The sequence below is a fragment of the Homo sapiens genome, chromosome 1 (genome assembly GCF_000001405.40).
Source record: "Homo sapiens chromosome 1, GRCh38.p14 Primary Assembly".
In the NCBI taxonomy this organism is placed as follows: domain Eukaryota; kingdom Metazoa; phylum Chordata; class Mammalia; order Primates; family Hominidae; genus Homo; species Homo sapiens.
Genome location: NC_000001.11, coordinates 92,092,197 through 92,116,938, shown reverse-complemented (window position 1 = coordinate 92,116,938; position 24,742 = coordinate 92,092,197). Strand labels below are relative to the sequence as shown.

The 24,742-nt window shown below is 39.0% G+C and overlaps 1 protein-coding gene and 1 pseudogene across 5 annotated transcripts in view; one reads left to right on the top strand and one right to left on the bottom strand.

Moving 5' to 3' along the window:
* Positions 1-24,742, bottom strand: part of BTBD8 (BTB domain containing 8) — a 104,379-nt gene that overhangs the window by 67,785 nt on the left and 11,852 nt on the right. For all 5 annotated transcript variants that reach the window (XM_047418461.1, NM_001376131.1, XM_047418464.1 and 2 more), the window contains exons 3-4: positions 14,270-14,466; positions 8,938-9,055 (exon numbers count right to left, since the gene is read on the bottom strand). In XM_047418461.1, the coding sequence (XP_047274417.1) occupies positions 8,938-9,055; positions 14,270-14,466 (315 nt within the window). The remainder of the gene's footprint in view (positions 1-8,937; positions 9,056-14,269; positions 14,467-24,742) is intronic.
* GAPDHP46 (glyceraldehyde 3 phosphate dehydrogenase pseudogene 46) lies at positions 1,107-2,300 on the top strand (annotated as a pseudogene).

Sequence of the window (24,742 nt, the reverse complement as noted above, 5' to 3'; positions counted from 1 at the left end):
AGTTCAAGGTTACAGAAGCTATGATCGTATCACTGCACTCCAGCCTGGGCAACAGAGAGTGATCCAATAAAAAAAAAAAAAGTACAATGGTAGACTTACACTCAAACATATTAATAACTACATTATTACAAATAGTCAAATAGTCTACTCCAATTAAAAGGAGATTATGAGACTGGATAGCAAAAGCAAGACATAACTATTTGCTATCTAAAAGAAATTAATTTTAAATATAAAGACAAAGTTTAGAAGTTAAAGGATATAAAAAGAATACCACATAAACACTAATCATAAGAAAGCTGGAGTGGTGATATTAACCAAAGTAAACTTCACAACAAGTGACATTACCTGGGGTAAAAAGCAACATTTCATAATAAAAAGGACTCAATTCATTATGAAGAAATAACAATCCCAAATGTGTATGTAACAAATAATAGAGCTCCAAAATACATGAAGCAAAAACTGACAGAACTAAAAGGAGAAATAAATTTATAATGATACTTGGAGACTTCAATACTCCATCAGTAATTAATAGGATAGGTAGACAAAAATTCAGCTAAGGATACATAAAACTTGAGCAACACTATCAACCAATTTTTTCATTTATAGAACACTCCACCACAGGACAACAGAACACATATTCTTTTTAAGTACATGTGGAACATTCACTAACACAGACCATATTCTGGGCCATCGAAAAGTCTCAATAAATTTAAACAAAACTAAAATAATATAAAATATGTTCTATGACCACCATGGAATTAAACTAGAAATCAATAATGGAGAATTATCTGGAAAATTCCCAAACAGTTGAAATTAAACATACGTCTAGACAACCCATGGGTAAAGAAGAAATCAAAAGGAAAATTAGAAAATACATTTATTTGAGTGAAAATACAATATATCAAAATTTGTAGGCTACAGCTAAGCAGTGCTTAGGAAATGTTTAGCTTTTAAATGCTTATTGTAGAAAAGGAAAAACGTTTCATATTAATGATCTAGAATTCCATCTTAAGAAAGTATAAATGGCAGCATAAATTAAACCTAAAGTAAGCAAAAGGAAGAGAAAAAGTGACAGAACCTTGCCATCTGCTCCTTCCGTTCTTGGGCAGCACCAGTCATGTCCCTGAGACATCATGGTAAAAGTGAAGCCCAGAGTAAATGGAATTGGCTATATTGGGTGCCTGGTAATCAGGGCTGCTTTTAACTCTAGCAAAGTAGATGCTGTTACCATCAATGACCCCTTCACTGACCTCAACTACATGGTCTACATGTTCCAGTATGATTCCACCCATGGCCAAGTTCCACGGCATCGTCAAGGCTGAAAACAGGAAGCTTGACATCAATGGAAATCCCATCACCATCTTCCAGGAGCGAGATCCCACCAAAATCAAACAGGATGACGCTGGTGCTGATTATGTTATGGAGTCCACTGGCATCTTCACTACCGTGGAGAAGGCTGGGGCTCACTTAGAGGGTGGAGCCAAAAGGGTCATTACCTCTGCCCCCTCTGCTGATGCCCCCATGTTCGTGATGGGCATGAGCCATAAGAAGTATAAAAACCTCAAGATCATCAGCAATGTCTCCTGTACCACCAACTGCTTAGCTCCCTGGTCAAGATCATCCATAACAACTCTGGCATCATGGGAGGAATCAGGATCACAGTCCATGCCATCACTGCCATCTAGAAGACTGTGGATGGCCCCTCTGGGAAACTGTGGTGTGATGGCTATGGGGCTCTCCAGAACATCATCCCTGCATCTATCTACTGGTGCTGCCAAGGCTGTGGGCAAGGTCATCCCCAAGTCGAACAGGAAGCTCAATGGCGTGGCCTTTCATGTCCCCACTGCCAACATGTTAGTCATGAACCTGACCTGCTCTCTGGAGAAACCAGCCAAATATGATGACATCAAGGTGGTAAAGCAGCATCAGAGGGGGCCCTCAAGGGCATCTGGGGCTACAATGAGCACCAGATTGTCTCCTCCAACTTTAACAGTGACACCAACTCTTCCACCTTCAGTGCTGGGGCTGGCATTGCCCTAATGACCACTTTGTCAAGCTCATTTCCCAGCATGACAATGAATTTGGCTACAGCAACAGGGTGGTGGGTTTCATGGTCCACATGGCCTCCAAAGAGTAAGATCCCCTGGACCACCAGCCCCAGCAAGAGCATGAGAGGAAGAGAGAAGTGTTCAATTGTTGGGGAGTCCCTGCCACACTCAGTCCTCCAAACACACTGAGAATCTCCCCTCCTCACAGTTTGTACACCAGACCCCCTGAAGAAGGAGGGATCTCAGGGACCCTGACAATCAAATGAATATTTAATGTACTAAGTTTGCTATATAGTTTTTATTTTTCTATAAAAGAGGACAAAGATAGTGACCTCATAGTATGATTGAGCCTATTTGAACAGATAAAAAAAATTATGTGTGCTGCCGAAGCAAGCACAGAATAAAAAATTTTTAGTCTGTAATTCTTTCCTTAAAAATGGAAAGCCAGATTTTAAAAACTTTTTTAAATTATAAAAACAATATGTTTGTAATAAACTTCAATATAGAATTGGATAAAGTGAAAATTTTAAGTTCTCACCCTGCTTCTTCATTTACTTCAATTCCATGACCTAGAAATAACCACTTTTAGCAGTTTATTGGATATCTGCCAGGACTTTTTTCCATGGCAGTCTTTTCTTTCACACTGTTGAATATCGATAGATAATCCATTTAATCCTCAGTGCTTCATTCATTTCTTTATGAATCCCAATCTCAGCACCACAATACTTAGCAAATAATAAGTGTTTTTTTTAACAATTATTTCTTACTTTATCTGACTATGCCTAGTGGTAAAGGTATATGAATACATAGCATGTCATGATTTATATGTGTAGCAGTCATGAGAATATACCCCTCTAATCTTTTTTTTTTTTTTTTTTTGAGACGGAGTCTCACTCTGTCGTCCAGGCTGGAGTGCAGTGACGTGATCTCGGGTCACTGCAACCTCCGCCTCCTGGATTCAAGCGATTCTCCTGCCTTAGCCTCCTGAGTAACTGGGACTACAGGCACATGCCACTGCGCCTGGTTAATTTTTTGTATTTTTAGTAGAGACAGGGTTTCACCGAGTTAGCCAGGATGGTCTCAATCTCCTGACCTCATGATCCGCCCGCCTCGGCCTCCCAAAGTGCTGGGATTACAGGCGTGAGCCACCGCACCGGGCCTACCCCTCTAATCTTTGACTGCATAATGACTGATAGCTTCAGCTACAGCACTCGGAAATTTATTCCACCTAGGTCACAAGGTCATCTCACCAGAAGCTACTTCCTGACAATGACTGAGGCCAGCAAGGACAATAAGGCAGGTCTAGCCCTAGAAAACAGGCGCTTCTCTGATGGGTGCCTTTGGCATGGGAACTTTCCAATAATGGCCTTGCCCAACTTTTCTTGGAACTCCACTGCAGTCTAAGATGCTTCTATCTAACTTCCTTCTCTTTCTCCTTCACTCAGAGTCAAATCAGCGTTGCAGTCTAGCAGCTCTGTTTTCTCTGGCTTTCTCCCTATGTTCTCTCACATACATTTAGCCTAATACATTTCTTGAAAGTCTAATCCCATCTTTGTGTCTACTTCTCAGAAGACTTGAACACAGCATGTCAGCCATTTCCATTTTAGTAAAATTAGAAGCATCTGAGGCTTAAACAATTACTCTGACCTTAAAACAGAAACTTAGAAAACATTCCTACTTAATTAGGACACATGCCTCAGGTTTAAAAATAATGCTGTAGATGGTATGGTGTATTAAAAATCTTTGCCAAATTTGTTATTTTCCAACATGCCAAAAACTATTTTCTCCTTTTGATTAAGTTTAATTTCAACTGTTAATGCTGCTTCTGGCTCTATCAAGATGCCCTAATTTCCGCCTTGCTGCTGCTTTAGTACACTGCTATTCAATACTTCCTAATGTTAGCTGAACTAGATTCACTACTCCAGGCAGAATAATGGCCTGGATTATGCAGAGAAGCTCTAGAGAAGGAAATTTTAGTAGGACTAATTTTTAAAGTATTCTTGCTCTAAGAATGTATTTATTTATTTATTTGCTTTAATTCCACATAACTGAGTAAGGATTAAATCCAGAGTGGTGAATCTAAATTTTTGGAGTAATCACTATTGTCCATGTCACTTCTTATCAAATACTTTAGAGAACATAACTTTGTAAAAGCAAAGTTAACCTTCTCTTGAGAATTTTGTGACATCCATTGACTATAGCTTTCATAGGACTGGACTTTCTGAAGTTAAGTGCCATGGATACTCTATTATCCGACAAAATTTGGACTAATAGTTGTTTAGTTAATTGAAAAAAATGAGGAATTAAAAAAGCTATTTTTGTATACTATAATTTTACTCTAACTTAAGAAGAAATATGCATTTAATTCACAAATCTTTTATCATAAGGCCCATCTTTTTTTTAACATGGGTTTGCTGATATAAGCCTCATTTTCACAAAAACAATACATATATACACTATGATACCTAGTTTGATTTTAATTTTTTTTGAGACAGGGTCTTGTTCTGTTCCCAAGGCTGGAATGCAATGGCACTCACTGGCTCATTGCAACCTCAAACACCTAGGCTCAAATGATCCTCCCACCTCAGCCTCCCGATTAGCTGAGACTACAGGTGCACACCACCATGCCCAGCTAAATTTTTTTGTAGAGATGGGGTCTTGCTTTGTTGCTTAGGCTGGTCTCAAACTCCCTGGTTCAAGTGATCCTCTCGTCTCAGCCTCCCAGAGTGCTGGGATAACAGGTGTGAATCACTGCACCTGTTCACAACAGCAATTTTTTAAGTGCCTTTCCCTTATTTAATCCCCCCAAAGCACTCATCCGAGTTTTCACTGGAACAATAACTTTTCTCTTTCATATTTTATGTATCATTGACTTATATTCATTGTCATCAAAATAATAAATTCAAATGGCATACGCAGGTTTGGGAACAAACCCAAGTGACTCTTGAAAGGCACTTTAGACTTGCAGGTCCCTGTGGCATTACTTGTCTCTGCTTTTTTGTTGCCTCATACAAAAACAGGCCACTTAACCACATTTAGGCCATAGTTTGCCCCCTGATATAAGACAAGCTAGAACAGGCAACATATGTGCCAGTCTTACAGATATCTATCACACACTTATAGCAACTAACATTTACTTTTGAAAGCTTACAATGTGCCAGGTACTATGCTAAGTGCTTCATGTGCATTATCTGATTCAATCTTCACAGCCACCCATGCTATAATTTCTACTACTATTCCTTTTACAGATAAAAATATTGAAACTTGGAGAGATTAAGTAACTTCTCAACAATTAATAAGTGGTGGAATTTTAAAAATAAGCGGTGGGATCATAATCTAAACGCAAAAAGACCAACTTCTCAATTACTAAATCATACCACTTCTGAAAAAACTTTTAGCTTTTTCAAGGACATACAAAACAATGATCTTCGGACACAGTGCCAATTTACTAAATATTCAGAGAGATATTAAAGGAAGATTTGACATCTTAACCAAATGAATGAATGTCTAATGGTATATTATCAGGCATTGATAAGAAAGGTATTCTGGAAGATATACCAGATTTTGAGTGTCACAAAGCTCAAGTTAGAAATGATGGGGCCAGGTGCAGTGGCTCACACCTGTAATCCTAGCACTTTGGGAGGCTGAGGTGGGCAGATTACTCGAGGTCAGGAGTTTGAGACCAGCCTGGCCAACATGGTGAAACCCTGTCTCTACTAAAAAGCACAAAAATGAGCCAAGCGTGGTGGTGTGCGCCTGTAAACCCAGCTACTCGGGAGGGTGAGACGTGAGAATCCCTTGAACCCGGGGGGCAGAGGTTGCAGTGAGCTAAGATTACGCCACTGCACTCCAGCCTCGGCAAAAGAGCAAGACTTTGTCTTAGGAAAAAAAAAAAAAGGAATGACTGCTCTGCTTTTTCAACGAGGCAGCATAAGAGAATTTTAATTATGGAACATAGAAGTGCAACAAATTATCTTAAAAATATAACATTCAACTTCTTTCATAAAACATTAAAATAATAAATTACATTAAAAAATGGGAAGTCAGCAGCCAGGTGCGGTAGCTCACGACTGTAATCCCAGCACTTTGGGAGGCCGAGGTGGGCGGATCACAAGGTCAGGAGATCGAGACCATCCTGGCAAACACAGTGAAACCCTGTCTCTACTAAAAAATACAAAAAATTAGCCAGGCGTGGTGGCAGATGCCTGTAGTCCCAGGTACTTGGGAGGCTGAGGCAGGAGAATGGTGTGAACCCGGGAGGCGGAGCTTGCAGTGAGCCGAGATCCCAGATGGTATTCATATGGCAACTGAGAGCATTTCAGGCAGGAAGATAATGTTACAGAGGTCCACAACAAGGGGTAATGTGCAGTAGCATCCCAGGATACAATATTCAGAAAAGTAGTAACATAACTAATGGAATCCATGAAGGCTAATCAGGTAGTAAGCCCAATGAGTGCTCAGTAACAACTGTAATTTAATTCTCACAATCACATTATGAGATGGAGACTGTTATAATCCCCATCTCTGATAAGGATGCTGAAACGCAGAATGAATGGTTAAGTGACTTACTCAAATTCACACAGCTAATAATGGTGGACATGGAATTAAAACGCATGCAGATTGTCCCCACAGTCCACACACTCTTAACCACTCTGTTAGAAATGATTTCTTTGGCTTAGTTGTGCCACCACAAGCAAGTGAATGGCATCAGACTGTCTTTCAGCATAGAAAGTGTTCCGGGGATTGGGCTGAGGATCATGGTAAAGAATGGACAGAGCAACTGGAGAGACTACCTTGGAAGACCTGTGTTATGAGGGGTGTTACTGAGGAAGTAACTTGACCATGAAATATTAGCTTAATAGAAGACCATACCAATTTGGGCACATTAAACTAGCAAACTAAGGTTTTAAAAATGTTGATACCTAAACTGAATAAAATTCCAGTCATAAATCCTGGTCCTTTGTAAGTACTTGTATTGATCTTTTAATATATAAGTATGTATAATTAAAAAATTAAAGTAGCCATATTACAAAAGGATTTTTAGCCACACCACTAGAAGAATGCTGACAATGATCATCTAGAACAAGAAGTAATTGAGAAAGTTCCAATGTTGGGCTTTAGATGAATATGTATTATCTGAACTACTGACACAATATTCCTTAAACTACATAATAAAATTAATATGTACTATAAACAGAAAGATGTTTGAGTCTGGACTAGGAAGGTAACCTTATAATTTAAAATTGGCTATTCTAACTTACATAAGGGCAAGAAAAAAGTAGGAAAACTTATTGTCTTTCTAGTTAATATGAATTTCTTTTTTACTGCTAGGTGAACAAAATAAACCAGAAATGTGAGCAAGAGCTGTCCTAGAATACAAACCTAATATTCTAGGTCCAGCTCCTAAAACACAGTCCTGTTAGTTCATTGTCAGGCAGCACACAGGGAGAGGCCAAATATAGGCACTGTTTGAGGACATATTGGAAATGGTCACAGGGTCCTGCCTTCCCTGTATGACAGCAATAGCTATAGGGCTCTATAACTTTGGTAGGATGCCCACATGGTCTCATGAAAAACGTGGACACAAAATAAAATTAATTTTTAAAATACAATTGTGTTGGTTAAAAAAAAAAAAAAAGAAAACAAGACAGAGAGACACACACCTACACCCACACCATGATTTAGGAAATATACCCATGATACGGAAAATATAATGTTCAATCTACATTATATTCTGAATTTTGCAACCTTTAATGCAGATTTCACAAAAATTAGGAAAATACGTATATGTATATTTACAAAGTACACAGTCCCATAGAGAAAAGTTCAAATTTTGAATAGTAAATAGCTAGTTCAGACTAGCAATCCTTGGGTTGTATTGCTGTCAACTGGCAAAACCAGCGTGATTTCTAAGAGTACAAATATTACTACTATTTGGCTTGGTGGATTACAGTAACCTAAACCCACTGCTAATTTCATTAAGGGCTGTGCACCCCTGAACCTAGAAGATTACCACTTGCCACTGCAAATACTCTGGCTCTTTCTGTTCAGTAGCGCCAGAATAACTTCTTATCAACCTTCTATTTGAAACACAAAGAGGAGGAAGAACTGGCTGGGTTCCTAAGTTTTCTGGTTCAGATTCTAGTCCATAGTGAGACCCAGCTGCACTTCTTTCCCTTGAGTTCCAAAAGATAATATGTATTTCTTATTAAATTTTTTTCTGCTTTTAAGCAGATTTTAGTTACTTGCAATCAAAGAGCCTGACTAAAACAGGCAACCGGCTTTAATTTGAAATCTAAACGCCTGGAATGTCTAAGCAACCCAATTCTGAAGCAGAACAATGGTTTTTAAAAAGTACATTGAAATATTAAACCTCCTAATCAATGCTATTCATGAGTATCAACTATTTTGAATCACGGAATCTGAGCCAAAATGCATTCAGAGAAAATACATGTCATTCATGTAGAAATAATACTTCTCAATACTATAATGCCTATAAAATTAAAAACTGCATTTAACTACATTTTCTATGACAGTGGCTTTCAAATCTATTTTAGGCAACAGAACATTTTCTTCTAATAAAATCTTAGGTTCATGCCCAATGCAGAACATAGATGAGATCTGCTCTGGCAGAAACATATACATGCACATGTCTGGGTAGGCCAACGTATGCACGTGTGAAAACCTGCAGAAAACCTTGCCTGATGGTCAACCTCTTCCCCTGTTGGACTCCCCCTGAGGAATCACAGTGGAACCCCTTTGGCCTTCATGGAACCCCTGTGGCCTGTGTGAAAACCAGAGTTTGAAAACCACCGTGCTGGTAAGAGACAGCTGCCCTTCCACACTCTACAGCCACAACCAAGACAGCAAATCAGTCGTGTCTATTTACCTGTGAGCTTTAAAACGTTTTCCATCAACAAAAATATCAATATCTGGGCAACAAGGTTTCACATAAAGCTTCAATAAATCTTCTCCTAATTCAGATGCAGGCTCCAAGTCATAATTATCTTTAAAAAAGAAAAACAAGACTAAAAAATAGTTTAATATTACAAACGTCCAAAAATTGTTTTCTATTATTATCAAGAGGTTTCCCACATAATTATCTCAATTAGTTGGAATATGTAAGTGGTAAATTAAAAATAAAACAAAAAGTTTAAATCATCTAGACTTTCTCCTTTGAAATATATATATTTCCACTTACATGTAAATATAGATATAGTCATGCATTGCTTAATAACAGTCATGCATCCCTTAATGACAGTTCTGAGAAATATGTTGTTACCTGATTTCATTCCTGTGTGAACATCACAGAGTGTACTCACACAAACCTAGATGATATAGCCTATTACACACATAGGCTATATGGTATAGCCTATTGTTCCTAGGCTATAAACCAGTACCGCATGTTACTGCAATGAATAGTGTTGGCAACTGTAACACAATGGTAAGCAGTTGTGTATGTAAGCATAGAAAAGGTACAGTAAAAATCCGGTATCATAATCTTATGAAACCTTTGTCATATATGTGGTCCATTGTTGACCAAAATGTCATTATGCAGCACATGACTGTACACTTTTAAATATACATATTTAAATATAGGTAGTATTATCACAAAATTATACACCAAAAATGAAGCCTCTTTATGAGCATCTTTTTCTAATTTTTAATTAGAATTAATTAATTCTTAATTAGAAATTAGAAAAATTTCTAATCTCTATGTTTCTTCTTGTGGGTCTCTAGGTTACTATGACCTGTGTTATCAGGCTAACAACAATATTGGATTATCTAAAAAAAACTGTATTTTATTTTTTAGAGACAGAGTCTTGCTCTGTCACTCAGGCTGGAGTGCAGTGGCATGAACATAGCTTACTACAGCTTCAAAATCCTGGGCTCAAGCAATCCAATCCTCCCACCCTAGCCTCACAAGTACCTGGGGCTACAGGTGTACGCCACCATGCTCAGCTACTTTTATGTTTTATATAGACGGGGGTCTCCTTATGTTGCCCAGGCTGGTCACAAACTTGGATACCTTTTGAAATCAGATCATTCTACAGTAAACTATGGTCCTTAATCACCATCATTCCCTGAACAGACTATGACCAATTTGACTCAAATACTGTTGAACTATCTATCTTGCCTAAATTTTGATTTGATTAATTTTGATCAGTTTGGTTTGTAGGGGCCCCTATAAAGGACTACACTTTTTTTTTTTTTTTTTTTTTTTTTTTTTGAGACAGAGTCTTACTCTGTCGCCCAGGCTGGAGTGCAGTGGTGCAATCTTGGCTCACCACAAGCTCCACCTCCTGGGTTCATGCCATTCTCCTGCCCCAGCCTCCCAAGTAGCTGGGACTACAGGTGTATGCCACCAAGCCTGGCTAATTTTTTTGTATTTTTAGTAGAGACGGGGTTTCACCATGTTAGCCAGGATGGTCTCGATCTCCTGACCTCGTGATCTGCCCGCCTCAGCCTCCTAAAGTGCTGGGATTACAGGCGTGAGCCACCACGCCTGGCAGGAGTACACTTTTGCCTTTTGGTATTAGCCTCCTGATAGTCATGATAGTAGCATCCCTGGTATACCACATCCTCTCAGGAGACTTAAATATTTGTATGCTGCCATCCATCGTGCATTAAATGGTCTTAACTTTGACTAAAACAGCAAGAATGTAAAGAATCATTTAACTGACCTGACATGGAGACCAGTAAATTCTACTGTGAGACCAAACAAGTCCATTATGATGGTATCAAGAGACTGGCATCAATGCCCAAGGTTTTGGTCAATCTCACAATCAAGAGACTAATCCAAAGGCAGAAACTGTTAACTTAAATTTGAAGTAAGCTGCCTCCATACTTTGAGTTCCTACTTAAGGAACTGCAACCTTAGTATGTAAACAAACCAAAACCTAACCTAACTTAGGAGTGTTTATTTTTGGTAATAGATAGCTAGATCTCAGCCAATTATAAGCAGCCGAGCTTTGGCCAATCACAGGCAGCCAAATTATCTGGCCATGTCCAAATAAGGCAAACACTTAGTTATAACCAATCAAGCCATTTCTGTACTTTACTTCCATGTTCTGTCTATACATACTCACTGGCCAGTTGTAGAGCAGAGTTCTCTGAACCTCTTCTGGTTCTGAGTGCTGCATGATTCATGAATTGTTCTTTGTTCATATAAACTCAGGTTCATTTTATCTAACGTTTTTCTTTTAACAACTGTTTATCGTAACCTTGCCTGTCAACAAACTTTGGCCAGTAGCTCTGGTGAAGATCAGTCACTGGTGACAGAGTCCCACAAGTTGAATTTGGGACAGGTTACATTTGAGATATTTAAGATATATTTTGGCTGGGCACAGTGGCTCATGCCTATAATCCCAGCACTTTGGGAGGCTGAGGCGGGTGGACTGCCTGAGCTCAGGAGTTCAAGACCAGCCTGGGCAACGCAGGGAAACCTCATCTCTACTAAGAATACAAAATATTAGCCAGGTGTGGTGGTCAGCCCTCTGGGCCCAGCTACTCGAGAGGCTGAGGTGGGAGGATCACTTGGGCCTGGGAGGTAGAGGTTGCAGTGAGCTGCGATCATGACACTGTACTCCTGCCTGGGTGACAGAGTGAGACCCCATCTCATTAAAAACAATAAAAATTTAAAAAATAAAAAAATAAGGGGCCGGGCACAGTGGCTCACGCCTGTAATCCCATCACTCTGGCAGGCTGAGGCGGGCGGATCACAAGGTCAGGAGATCAAGACCATCCTGGCTAACACGGTGAAACACCATCTCTACTAAAAATATAAAAAATTAGCCAGGCGTGGTGGCAGGTGCCTGTAGTTCCAGCTACTTGGGAGGCTGAGGCAGGAGAATGGCGTGAACCCGGGAGGCGGAGGTTGCAATGAGACAAGATTTGTGCCACGGCACTCCAGCCTGGGTTACGGAGTGAGACTCCTTCTCAAAAAAAAAAAATAATAATAAGGTAGACTTTAACAGGTATGTTTAGTCAGTGGTTGGATATGAAGCTCAAAAAAATTACAGAATACCATTTATTTAAGGGGTAGAAAAATGATACATCAGTAAAAAAGACTGAGAAATGGCCAAGAAGGAAAATCAGGAAAGCATGGTGTCACAGAAAACAGAAGTTTCAAGGAGGGCAGTATTAACAGTATGAAAGGCTGCAAAAAGGTTTATAAGATGTAGGCAAAAAAATGTCTGTTAAGCTGGCAACTGGCAGGTTACTGGTGAATGTGGGGATTTTCCATGGAGTGATGGAGAAAACAGTCGAAAGGCAGAAGCTCTTTTCACTTAAACTCACAACTTATATGGCCATTTTAAAGGGTTGCCATAGAGCCACAGCAGAGCTCTAGACTAGAGTAAGAAAACTGGATTTCAAATATCAGCTCTGTCAATTGCTCTGTGTGACCTCGGGAAAGTCTCTTATGCTCTCTGAGTCTTAGAGTCCTATCTGGGTCTTATTGATAACATCAGTCTGTAACACTTCCTAGGGTTTTATGAGACTAAATTAAATAAAGCATATGAATGATCTACCTCAAGGCCTAGAATGTGTATTCATTCACTCATAATTAGATATGTTGACTGTAATATAACAGGAATCTAACCAGGATAAATCAGATGAGTAACTGTTGTTGCTTTACACACCAGTAATAAGATCCTTTAACCCAAAAAATATTTTCAAATACAATCAATTCTGCTCTAACACTTGTTTTGAGAAAATGAGTTTGATCCAATACAATTCATGTATTAGGGAACAATTTGAGCATAACATGAATTTCGCATTTGCTTAGGTGCAAAATTCAGATGAGAAACACCAGGTTATTGCAGAAAGCTGCACTCAGCTGAACTGAGCCATGCACCTGCACACATGCACACCTAAATATCTACCAGATACCTCAGTTTACTGCATGTGTTATGAGACACACCCATCTATATCTGGTTTTATAAATTCCCATCTGACTTCAGATAACCAACTATTGGGAGACACTTTTCTATGAATATTTTTATGTTTTAGCATGGTCTGACCTGTCTGAGCAGAGCACCAGTAAACTTGGTTAAAGGATGATTAAAAAGCAAACATGCCTTGGAAACTAGAGATATGTATTACTCCAGAAAAATTGAGAAACATTCCTCCCCTGGAAGTCATTTCCTTATATTACAGGGTAAGGAAACTACCTTCTCCTCCCCTCCCAAAGATTTACCTTCCAAAGAAAGGTCTTTCTGTCTCTAGAGAGGAGAATGGGAAGATCTGCCAACAACCTGTGGAAGCTTAAAGTTTCCTAATTTTGGTGTTCCTTTTCTGTGGTGCAATCCCACTGCATGGGCTAGGTAACATCAGGCCCTCACTGCAGTGCCTCACGGAGTTTAGGAGCTGAGAACTGGCACTAAGATGCTCTGCAAATGATAAATGTTCTGTTCTCTGATCCAGGGACCTCAGGTTTCCTGTCAGAACCTCTCTCTACACATGCATCCATCTTTAATGCATTCCATCCTTAATGCATATGAATGATCTACCTCAAGGCCTAGAATGTCTATTCATTCACCATAATTAGATATGTTGACTGTAATATAACAGGAATCTAACCAGGATAAATCACGTAAGTAATTGTTGTTGGTTTACACACCAGTAATAAGATCCTTTAACCCAACAAATATTTTCAAATATAATCAATTCCGCTCTAACACTTGTTTTGAAAAAATGAGTTCCATCAATTTGCAATAACTCACAAGCTGCAACCCTTCTGAAATCCACTTTCTCATTCCATCAATTTGCAATAACTCACAAGCCACAATCCTTCTGAAATCTACTTTCACAAGCAAACTTCAGGTCTCTTTCATGGTAAAATGCCATATGTATTATAGTATTTATGTATTTCTTAACCATTTAATATGCATAAAACTAGGCTACCATTTTTGTTAGGGTGTGAAACAGAATTGACTCTGCCAAAGCTTCTTTATTGGTATAGATTATAATAAGGACAATAACGTAGAGGCATAATGGCTAAAAAGAGAATTGTGAGTTATGTATGGATTTATTCATAATAACCCTATCTCCAATTACTTGGGAAAAACTGGGAGTTAACAATACTAGTGTTTTCAGTTCTCCATGCTTATTAAAAAAAAAATCAGTAAAGCATATTTTTGAAGTATGCTTTTCTCTAACTGTATCAGAATATAATTATTTTTACGGCTATAAATACAACTCCATAAAAAATACCTCACCATTGGAAATGAAATCATCATCTCTGTCACTGATATCCTCTGGAATTTCATGCTTCTGAAGAGAACAATCAGATGAGTTTTCACACTTTGGAAAACTGATGTCAAGTTGCTTTTGTGATATCCCAATCTCCATTATCTTTTTCCTAAGAATTTCCTCTTCATAGTTTTTTATGTTTCTGTTTGATGAATATATAATCCTAAAAGACAAAATATAAAATATTAATAAAATAACATTGGTGATTCTTAAAAAGAAAGAATGCTAGTTTCCTTAGTGTGCTACTTTCATATATAATATTAAACCTTCTTAATTTGGACTAACTGTAGAAAGGTCAATCTAAAATAGCAGAAGCCAGCTGGGCATGGTGGTTCACACCTGTAATCCCAGCACTTTGGGAGGCCGAGGTGGGGAGACCATTTGAGGTCAGGAGTTCAAGATCAGCCTGGCCAACATGGCGAAACCCTGTCTCTAATAAAAAAATACAAAAATTAGCTGAGCATGGTGGCGGGTGTCTGTAAGCTGCTTGGGAGGCTAAGACATGAGAATCACTTGAACCCAGGAGGCGGAGGTTGCAGTGAGCTGAGATTGTGCCACTGTAATCCAGCCTGAGCGACAGAGCAAGACTCCATCTCAAAAAAGAATAATAATAATAATAAATAAAATAAAACAGCAGAAGCCGGGTGTGATGGCTCACGCCTGTAATCCTAACATTTTGGGAGGTCAAGGCAGGAGGATTGCTTGAGCTCAGGAGTTCAAGAGCAACCTGGGCAACATAGTGAGACCTCGTCTTTACAAAAAATTTAAAAACTTAGCAGAGTGTGGTGGCATGCACCTGTAGTCCCAGCTACTTGGGTGGCTGAGGTGGGAGGATCATTTAAGCTCTGCAGGTCAAGTTGCAGTGAGCTGTGATCATGCCACTGCACTCCAGTCAGGGCAACAGAGTGAAACCCTGTCTCAAAAATAAGTAAATAAAAATAAAAAATAAACAGCAGCAAGTTTGAAAAGGAGTCTATAAAAATGTTAAATGTTAAAAAGTAATATATAATGCCAAAAAATGGAATTCGTGGCTGCTGCTGGCTACCCACAGTGAGTGTCACCTCACCCCTGGAACCTTCGATGCCTCTGTTTCCCCTTGGGGGACTGTGTGGCAGGTGGAGGTTCCCCGGGTCCTGGTGGGGCAGTGAGTAGTGTGCCTGCGGGAGCTGTCATGAATATTTCAGGAGCTGTCTTCTTCCATGTGAATTTTGTCATGCTTCAGTAAAATTATTCTGGGGATTTGCTTGGAAGGCATTACTTTTACCGAGATGGCTGGAGCCATGTGGATGGGCATAAATGGCTAAGGTCCAGCAACCATCAATGTCAAGTATCCATACACCTGGCCTGAGTTGATCCTTGTGCCCTTCAGAGCTTGGGATATGAGACTGAAAATGACAACTCAGAATATTCCTCAGAGAGAACTACCCTGTGATGTGGAAGTAACTCAGGATTAGAAAACATCATATGTTCTCATTCATAAATGGGAGCTAAGCTATGAGGATGCAAAGACATAAGAATGATACAATGGACAATGGGGATTGGTGGGGGAAACGGTGGAAGGAGGATGAGGGATAAAAGACTACAAATTGGATACACTGTATACTGCTCCGGTGATGGGTCTACCAAAATCTCAGAAATCACCACTAAAGAACTTATTAATGTAACCAAACACCACCTGTTCCCCCACAAACCTATGGAAATAAATAAAAACAAAAAATAATAATGCCAGCCAGGCGCGGTGGCTCACGCCCATAATCCCAGCACTTTGGGAGGCCGAGGCAAACGAATCACGAGGTCAGGAGTTCGAGACCAGCCTGCCCAACATGGTGAAACCCCGTCTCTACTAAAAATACAAAAAATTAACTGGGCGTGGTACAGGGTGCCTGTAATCCCAGCTACTTGGGAGGCTGAGTCAGGAGAATCGCTTGAACCCAGGAGGCAGAGCTTGCAGTGAGCCGAGATCATGCCACTGTACTCCAGCCTGGGTGACAGTGTGAGACTCCATCTCAAAAATAATAATAATAATAATAATAATGCCAAAAAAGTAGATAATCTAGATGAAATGGACAATTCCAAGAAAGACACAAACTACCAAACCTGACTCAAGAAGAAACAGAGTATCTGAGTACACCTATAACAAGTAAAGGGATTGAATTAGTAATCAAAATCTTCCCTCAAAGAAAAAAACAGAACCAGATAGCTTGACTGGTAGATTCTACCAAATGTTTAATAATTAACACCAATCCTTCACAAATTTTTCCAAAAACACAGGAGAGGAAGGAACACTTCCCAACTCATTCTGTGAGGCCAGTATTACTAATACAAAAGCAGACAAAGGAAAGAAAAACATAGGCCAACATTCCTTATTAGTGTAAATAAAAAAACCCTCAACAAAATAATTTTAAACTGAATCCAGCAGCATATAAAAGGGATTATAAACCATGACAAACAGATGTATCTCAGGAATTCAGAAAATTAATGTTATACACCATATCAGTAAAATAAAGTACACAAAACCACATGATCACTTCAATCAATGCAGAAAAATCATTTGACAAAGCCCAACACGCTGTCATGATAAAACATTCAACAAACTAGGAATAAAAGAGAATGTCCTCAACTTGATAAAGGACATCCATGAAAAACCCACAGCTGACATCATACTTTAATGGTAACTGAAAGCTTTCTTCCTAAGATCAGCCAGGATGTCTGCTCTTACCACTTCTATTCAACATTTTATAGAAGGTTTTAGCCAGGGCAATTAGGCAAGAAAAAGAAATAAAAGGCATCTACACGGTAAAGAAATAAGTAAAGCTATCTTTATTTATAGATGACAAATTTGTATAGATAAAATCCTTGGAAATCTACAAAAACACTACTAAACAAGTTTAGCAAGGTTGCAGCTTACAAGATCAACATGCAAAAATTATGTTTTTATATACTAGCACTGAACAACCAAAAATGAAATTAGAAAATAATTCCATTTACAATCGTATTCTAAAAAATAAAATACCAGGAATATATTTAACAAAAGAAGTATAAGACACTCATTGAAAGCTACAAAACAATGTCGAAAGCAACTAAATAAATGGAAACACATCTCGTGTTCACGGATTAGATGACTTAATATTGTTAAGATAGTAGTACTTTCTGAATTGATCTACAGATTAAATGCAATCTCTATTAAAATTCCAGCTGACTTTTTTTTTTTTTTTGCAGAAATTGACAAGCCAATCCTCAAATTCAAATGGAAATACAAGGGGCCCAGAACAGCCAAAACAATCTTGCAAATAACAAAGTTGGTGGATTCACACTTCTCAATTTTCTAAGCTTCCTACAAAGCTACAGTAATCAAGACTGTGTAGTACTGACATAAGAATGGTGGACATGTAGATCAGTGGAATAGAACTGAGTCTAGAACATACATTTATGGGCAACTAATTTTTGACAAGGGTGTCCAGACAATAACACAATGGGGAAAGAACAGTCTCCCCCATAAATGGTGCTGAGACAAGTGAACATCCAAATGCAAAAGAATGAAGTTAGACGCTAACCTCATACCATATACAAAAATTCACCAGAATAGATCAAAGACCTAAATGGAAAAGCTAAAAGTACAAAACTGTTTTAAGTAAACATAGGCATAAATCTTCATGACCTTGGTGTCTTAGATATGATTCCAAAAGCACAGCGACAAAAGAAAAGATAAAGTGGAAATCACACAAATTAAAGATGTTTGATTTCCAGAATACCCTAAAAGAGAACCCAGAGAATGAGAGAAAACTTCTGCAAATCATGTCTGATAAGAGTCTAGTATTCCAGTATATACAGAAATCTCTAAAAGCATAATAGTTTAAAGAGAACCCAATTTTAAAATGGGCAAAGGACGTGATTAGTTTTCCAAAGAATATGTAAAAATAACTGATAAGCATACAAAAATTGCTCAAGATCATTACCTATCATGGAAATGCAAATGATTAGCTACCATGGGAATGCAAATGAAAACAATAATACCAGTTCACAGCCACTAGGATAGGTATAATTTTAAAAAAAAACAGATAACATGTTGAGAATATGGAGAAATTGGAAATTTTGTACATGCTGGTGGTAATGTAAAATGGTACAGTCATTTTGGAAAAGAGTCTGTCAGTTCCTGAAAAGGTTACTATATGACCCAGTAATTCCACTCCTAGGTATATAATACAAGAGACTTGAAAATGTATGTTCCCACAAAAAATTTATATATAAATGTTCATAGCAGATTTATTCATAATAGCCAAAAAGCCGAAATAACCCAAAAGCCTATCATCTGATGACTGGGTAAACAAAATACAGTATATCTATATGTAGGGGAAAATAGGTAACATAGCAGGCCTGACTGCTATACCTTGAAAGATTTATTTATAAACTTGGCCCTTGGCTGATATCTGGAAACATGGATTTGGGCGCTGTTCTTAGCATTCTCTAAATGTAAAGGTGGCTCACTATGTCTAAACTGTTTATACAAGCAATAGTTTAGGCTGAACACAGACTTTCCTCCTGGGAGTCTGGAATTCGAGTACACGTGGGCAGGAGTGCCTACGTGACCAATTCCCAATTAAAAAAACCTGGGCATTGAGCTTCTGATGAGTGTCCCTTGTTGGCAACATTTCAGAAGCATTGTCACAACTCATCGCTGGGGAAATTAGGCATGTCCTCTGTGCTCCCACCAGGAGAAGACCCTTAGAAACTTATGCCTTGATTTTCATGAACTTTGCCCCACGCAGCTTTTCCGTTTCCTTTCTCTGTAGTAAATCATAGCCTTTAGTATGACTATATGCTGAGTACTGTGAGTCCTCTCAGCAAATCATCAAACCTGAGGATAATCCTATGACCCCTGATTTATCATATAATAAAATATACAGCCATAAAGGGAATAAAGTATTGATACGTGTCACAACATAGATGAACTGTGAAAATACCATGTCGAGTTTGGAAAGCCACACGTAAAAGGCCATATATTGAATGATTCCATTTATATGAAATGACCAGAATAGGCAAATCCTTAAAGACAGAAAGTAGGTTGTTCACCAGGGGCTGGCTGAAGGAGGAAATAGGGGTGGCTGCTAATGGCTATGGGGCTTCTTTCTGGGATGATGAAGATATTCTGGAATTAGTGATGTTGGTGGCACAACATTGTGAATATATTAAAACCACTGACTCATACACTTTAGAATGGTCAATTTTATAGTATGTGAAAATTATATCCATTAAAAAAAGAGTAGATGGGAGGAAACGAATTGGCAAGAGTGTGATAGATAATTCTTGAGGAGCTTTGATGTGAAAAGGAGCAGAGCATTAGGGTATTAGCTGGTGGAGTATTAGCTGAAAGTGAAGGCAGGTCAGGAAAGAGTCATTTTTTAGGCGGGGGAGAAAATACCATGTTTAGATGAGGAGATCTAAGACAGAAGAAATTTCTGTGGAAAGATGAAAACTGCTGGAACAATGTCCCAGACTAGGTGAAAAGGAATAGGATGAGATCTGGTGGACAAATAGAGGATTTGATTTTAGAAGCACTGACAGTTCATCAGTAATAACAGGGAGGAAAATAAAGCATATAGGTACAGATGCAAGTATGTGAACAGATATGGAAGAAGTTTGTAAAAGTTCTCACTGCTTTGACTTTCTCAGTGAAATAGAAAGCAGGTCATCAAAAGTGAGAATGAAGAGGAACGGCTGAAGGTTCAGGAAAGAGGAAGTATAAAATAATACTCCAAGAAAGTGGGAACTCAAATAGGACTAGGGAAATATAGGTGATTGGCCACACGCTATGGCTCATACCTGTAATCTCAGCGTTTTGTGAGACCGAGGTGGGAGGACTGCTTAAGCCCAGGAATTCTAGACTAGTCTGGGCAACACAGCAAGACCCCATCTCTATAAAAAATAGAAAAATTAGCCAGGTGTGGTGGCATGCACCTGTAGTCCCAGCTACTCAGGAGGATCACTTGAGTCCAGGCATTCAAGGTTACAGTGAGCTATGATTGCACCATCACACTCCAGCCTAGGCAACAGAATGAAATATCATCTCTAAAAAAAAAAAAAAAAGGAAATATAGGTGATTGCATGTAGTATGACTAACAGCACTAAGTGCCTACTGGTGGTTAGCATGACTGTGTGTTTTCCCAGCCACATTCAGCTGTGTGAATGCAGAAGTGGAGAGGTCACAGTTGAATGTAAGATTTGGGGTTTTGACATACAAATCAAATTCAAAGGGAACAACAGAGTTGAAGGTGTATGCAAAGGGAGTAATACAATGATAGTGAAAGGCATTTAAGCTGAGTAAGGAGGGAAATGAGGACATAAGAGGATAAAAGAAAATTAAAATCTAGCCTGGGCTTGATGGTTCATGCCTGTAATCCCAGCACTTTGGGAAGCTGAGGCAGCTGGATCACTTGAGGTCAGGAGCTCGAGACCAGCCTGGCCAACATGGCGAACCCGTTTCTACTAAAAACACAAAATTAGTTTGGCATGGTGGTGGGAGCCTGTAATCCCAGCTACTTGTGAGACTGAGGCACAAGAATTGCGTAAGCCTTGGAGGCAGAGGTTGCAGTGAGCCAAGATCACGCCACTGCCATCCAGCCTGGGTGACAGAGCAAGCCTCTGTCTCAGAAAAAAAAAAAAAGTAGTAAGATTAACTCTACCAGGACCTGCAATTAATGAATTATTAGAGTTGAAGTCCTAAAGGGAGTAAGCTAGAAAGACAGGAGGTAGAAGTTAGAGAGTAAGATTCTTAGAATCAAGATGACGGGGGGCTGTAGTTATTGATAACAGCACTATTTAGGATTTGACATGGCAGTGAGTAGTTGAGGTAGAGTGGACAACAAGATTACTGGAAGACAGGAATTGAAGGCACTGAGAGGCCAAGTTACTGGAAACATCATCTACATAGCAATTGCAATTACTAACACATATACTTAGGAAAATTGACAATAGTAGCTAAAATCTTTATGGAAGGAGGACTGAACTGGCAGTCTGCTGATGACTGTCCTGTGGTATAGACTAGTAAAATGAGATTCAACAATAGGGGAGTAAGAAGGAAGGAAGCAAGGACATTCATGAGTGTTTAAAATGTACAGAAATTTTGGTGTTATTCAGGTATAGTGAGGCCAACAGATCAGGAGACAACTGCCACTGAAAAGATAATTTGTTAGTTATAATTTACAAGAGGAGGGGGCACACCATGCAGGGCCACACAGGGAAGCAACAGGGTTGGTCAGAAGGAGCAAGGGGAAAGCATGGACAAAAGCCTTTATTGGGGTTTTCAAGGGAAGAAATAAGCAAGGCAAGGTAAGCAACTGAACAGGATCAGGGCTGGATTTTTTGAATAATGTTGACTGGCTCTGGCCTATGGGAGTGATCCCTACTTGTCTGGTACTTGGCTATAGGGAGATTAGGGGAAAAGAATGTTATCTCCTGGAATATGAGAACCAGATAGAGAATGTGCATATATGAATGGATATATAGGTGGGTCCATGTACTTAGGATTGGCTGGTTCACAGGCAAGTCATTTACTATCTCTAGGAATTAGCGAACCTGGGAGGGGCAGTCTTTTCCCCCAACCCCATCAGCAAGACCCCAGATACCAGAAAGAAAATACAACAAGGAAGACACTTATTCCAACCACTTTCAATCCTTGTAGTATAAGGGATGTGGGAGAGACAATGGCTACCGCCAGAGAAAGCTTGCAGAGGAAATGATATCCTTTGTTCTGTGCTGTTTTATGTATTTACCTGACTGAGACTTTATCCTGGTATCTCCCAGCTCTTGATGTTAAACTAAACATCCAAAGGTCCTCCCTCTTTTCTTTACCTCTCACATGCACACACACTCTCACAACAATAACCAGGTTAGTCTTCTTGGGAAATCAAGGATTTTTATGATCCTGAATTGAATTTTAATCATGAGGTCATAAAGCAAGCACAACTTTCCACTGACAATCATTTGAGGCATATCTGAAGTCACTGCATATAAAACAACTTTTCAAAGGCTGTATTTCACACTCTAACTCAAGTGCACAAAGTACACACCAAAGGGCTACAATAAGTAGTAACATAAAAGACTATTTCAAAATCTTTATCCATTACTTAAAAAGAAAGGATGTGAACTGAAGAGACTTACAAGGACTGAATTTCACAAAGCAAAAATTCAAGAAATTATTTTATGGGAATTTTCACTAGAAGAAATTTTCATGTCAACATTTTCCATTGTACTCCCTTCCTTTTGCCTTCTTTTCATACAGACAAATGTCAAAACAATCTGCTTTGAAACCAAAAAAGGGTACGTCACAAGTGCTTTCTATATGCAAGACACTACATGAGGCACCAATGGAGATGTGCACATCAGTGAGACAATCTAATCTCAAGGAGCTTACATAATCACAGACACACACGACTAACCTAATACAAAACAGAATATGATTAGTGCTTGAAATAGAGCACTGTGAAGTGCTATGAAGCACAAAGCCAGCTACTCCAACTACTTTCTTTGAAATGAGAAAACTGAGGCTGAAAAAAAATAAAACAAGATAATGCACAGCAAGAAGGCAGATCTGTCTTACTGCCAAGTCCAGTGCTTCCTCCACTCTCCCATACTGGGTCTAATTCAATCTTTTCCAATCACTTTTAATGATAACAAATAAAGGGTATCATTGATGTAATGTCTCCCTTTCTCTAATGTATAAAAATTTGATCTATGCCAAGGATCTTCTTTTAAACATACATTCAACAGCTGAAGAAATGTATAATTTCATAGCACCTACTACTATGAATAACACAATAATCATGAGATAATAAAGCAAGCTCAACTTTCCACTGACAATCATTTGAGCCATATCTGAAGTCACTACCTATAAAACAATCTTATTCAGTGCTTACCACATGCCCAGGCCACTGCGCTAAGTGCTTTATAACCATCACATTTAACCCTCACAACACCACTATAAGAATTATTAATGTGCCCATTTTTCAGAGGAGGAAACTAATGGTAAGTGATTAGTCTAAGTTCATACAGAAGTGGTAGAACTGGCTTCATCACAAAGCTTGTTCTTATAACAACTCTCTATCACCTACTAGGAGAAAAAAGCATACACTTTAAAATTGGTATTTCGGCTGGGTGCGGTGGCTCACACCTGTAACCCTAGCACTTTGGGAGGCCAAGGTGGGCAGATCACCTGAGGTCGGGAGTTCGAGACCAACCTGACCAACATGGAGAAACCCTGTCTCTACTAAAAATACAAAATTAGCCGGGCATGGTGACACATGCCTGTAATCCCAGCTACTCAAGAGGCTGAGGCTGGAGAATTGCTTGAACCTGGGAGGTGAAGGTTGCAGTGAGCCGAAATCATGCCATTGCACTCCAACCTAGGCAATGAGAGCAAGACTCCCGTCTCAAAAAAAAAAAAAAAAAAAAATTGGTATTTCAAACTCAATGATGAGCCTATATAACCTGTACTGAAAAATGATAGTGATTTTCTAAGTTGTACTTAAAGTATCTGCTTAAATTATAGTATATTAAGTTCTTTTAATGAACACAGGTAGCCAAGGTTAGGCAATTTTCCATTTATGCTCTCCACAGGAGCTTCACACATGAAACAGAAATAATAAAGAAAAAAGTCATTAAAGAAACTGCTAAAGCATAAAATGAATAAGCCAATCACATAAATACACTTAAAATATAATTATCCAAAGATAATTTTCTATACTAATGTAAATGTCATTTTGATTATAGGCAAAAACCATGTTAGCAAATAACTAAAAGACTGGCATCCAAAAAATGTCTGGGATATAAGGACAGATATCCCAGAAGTTTCTTAGACATATAAAAGATACATAAGGACATAAAAACCCGAAAATCCAACTGACTTCTCATGAAAGTCAAAACAGATAAGTGGCACCGGCATTAAGGTCAGACATACAAACCGGTGGTATAGAACTGAGAAACCAGAAATAAACCCTCACATTTATGGGTGAATTAACTTACACTGCCATAATGAAATACCATAGACTGAGTAGCTTAAACAACAGAAATGTATTTCTCAGTTTTCGGAGGCTAGAAGACCAAGATGAAGTGCCAGTATGTTGGGTTCTGGTGAGGGCTTCCTGGCTTCCAGACACCATCGCCTCACTGTGTCCTTGGATGGCAGGGATAGAGTAAGTATGCACACAAGCTCTCTGGTGCCTCTTCTTTTCTTTTTTTTTTTTTTTGGAGATAGCCTCACTCTGAGGCCCACGCTGGTGCTGTGGCATGATCTCAGCTAACTACTCTGCCTCTGGGCTCAAGTGATCCTCCTACCTCAGCCTTCTGAGTAGCCAGGACTATTAGGTGCACACCACCACATCCAGCTAATTTTTTGTATTTTTGGTAAAGACTGGGTTTTGCCATGTTGCCCAGGCTGGTCTCAA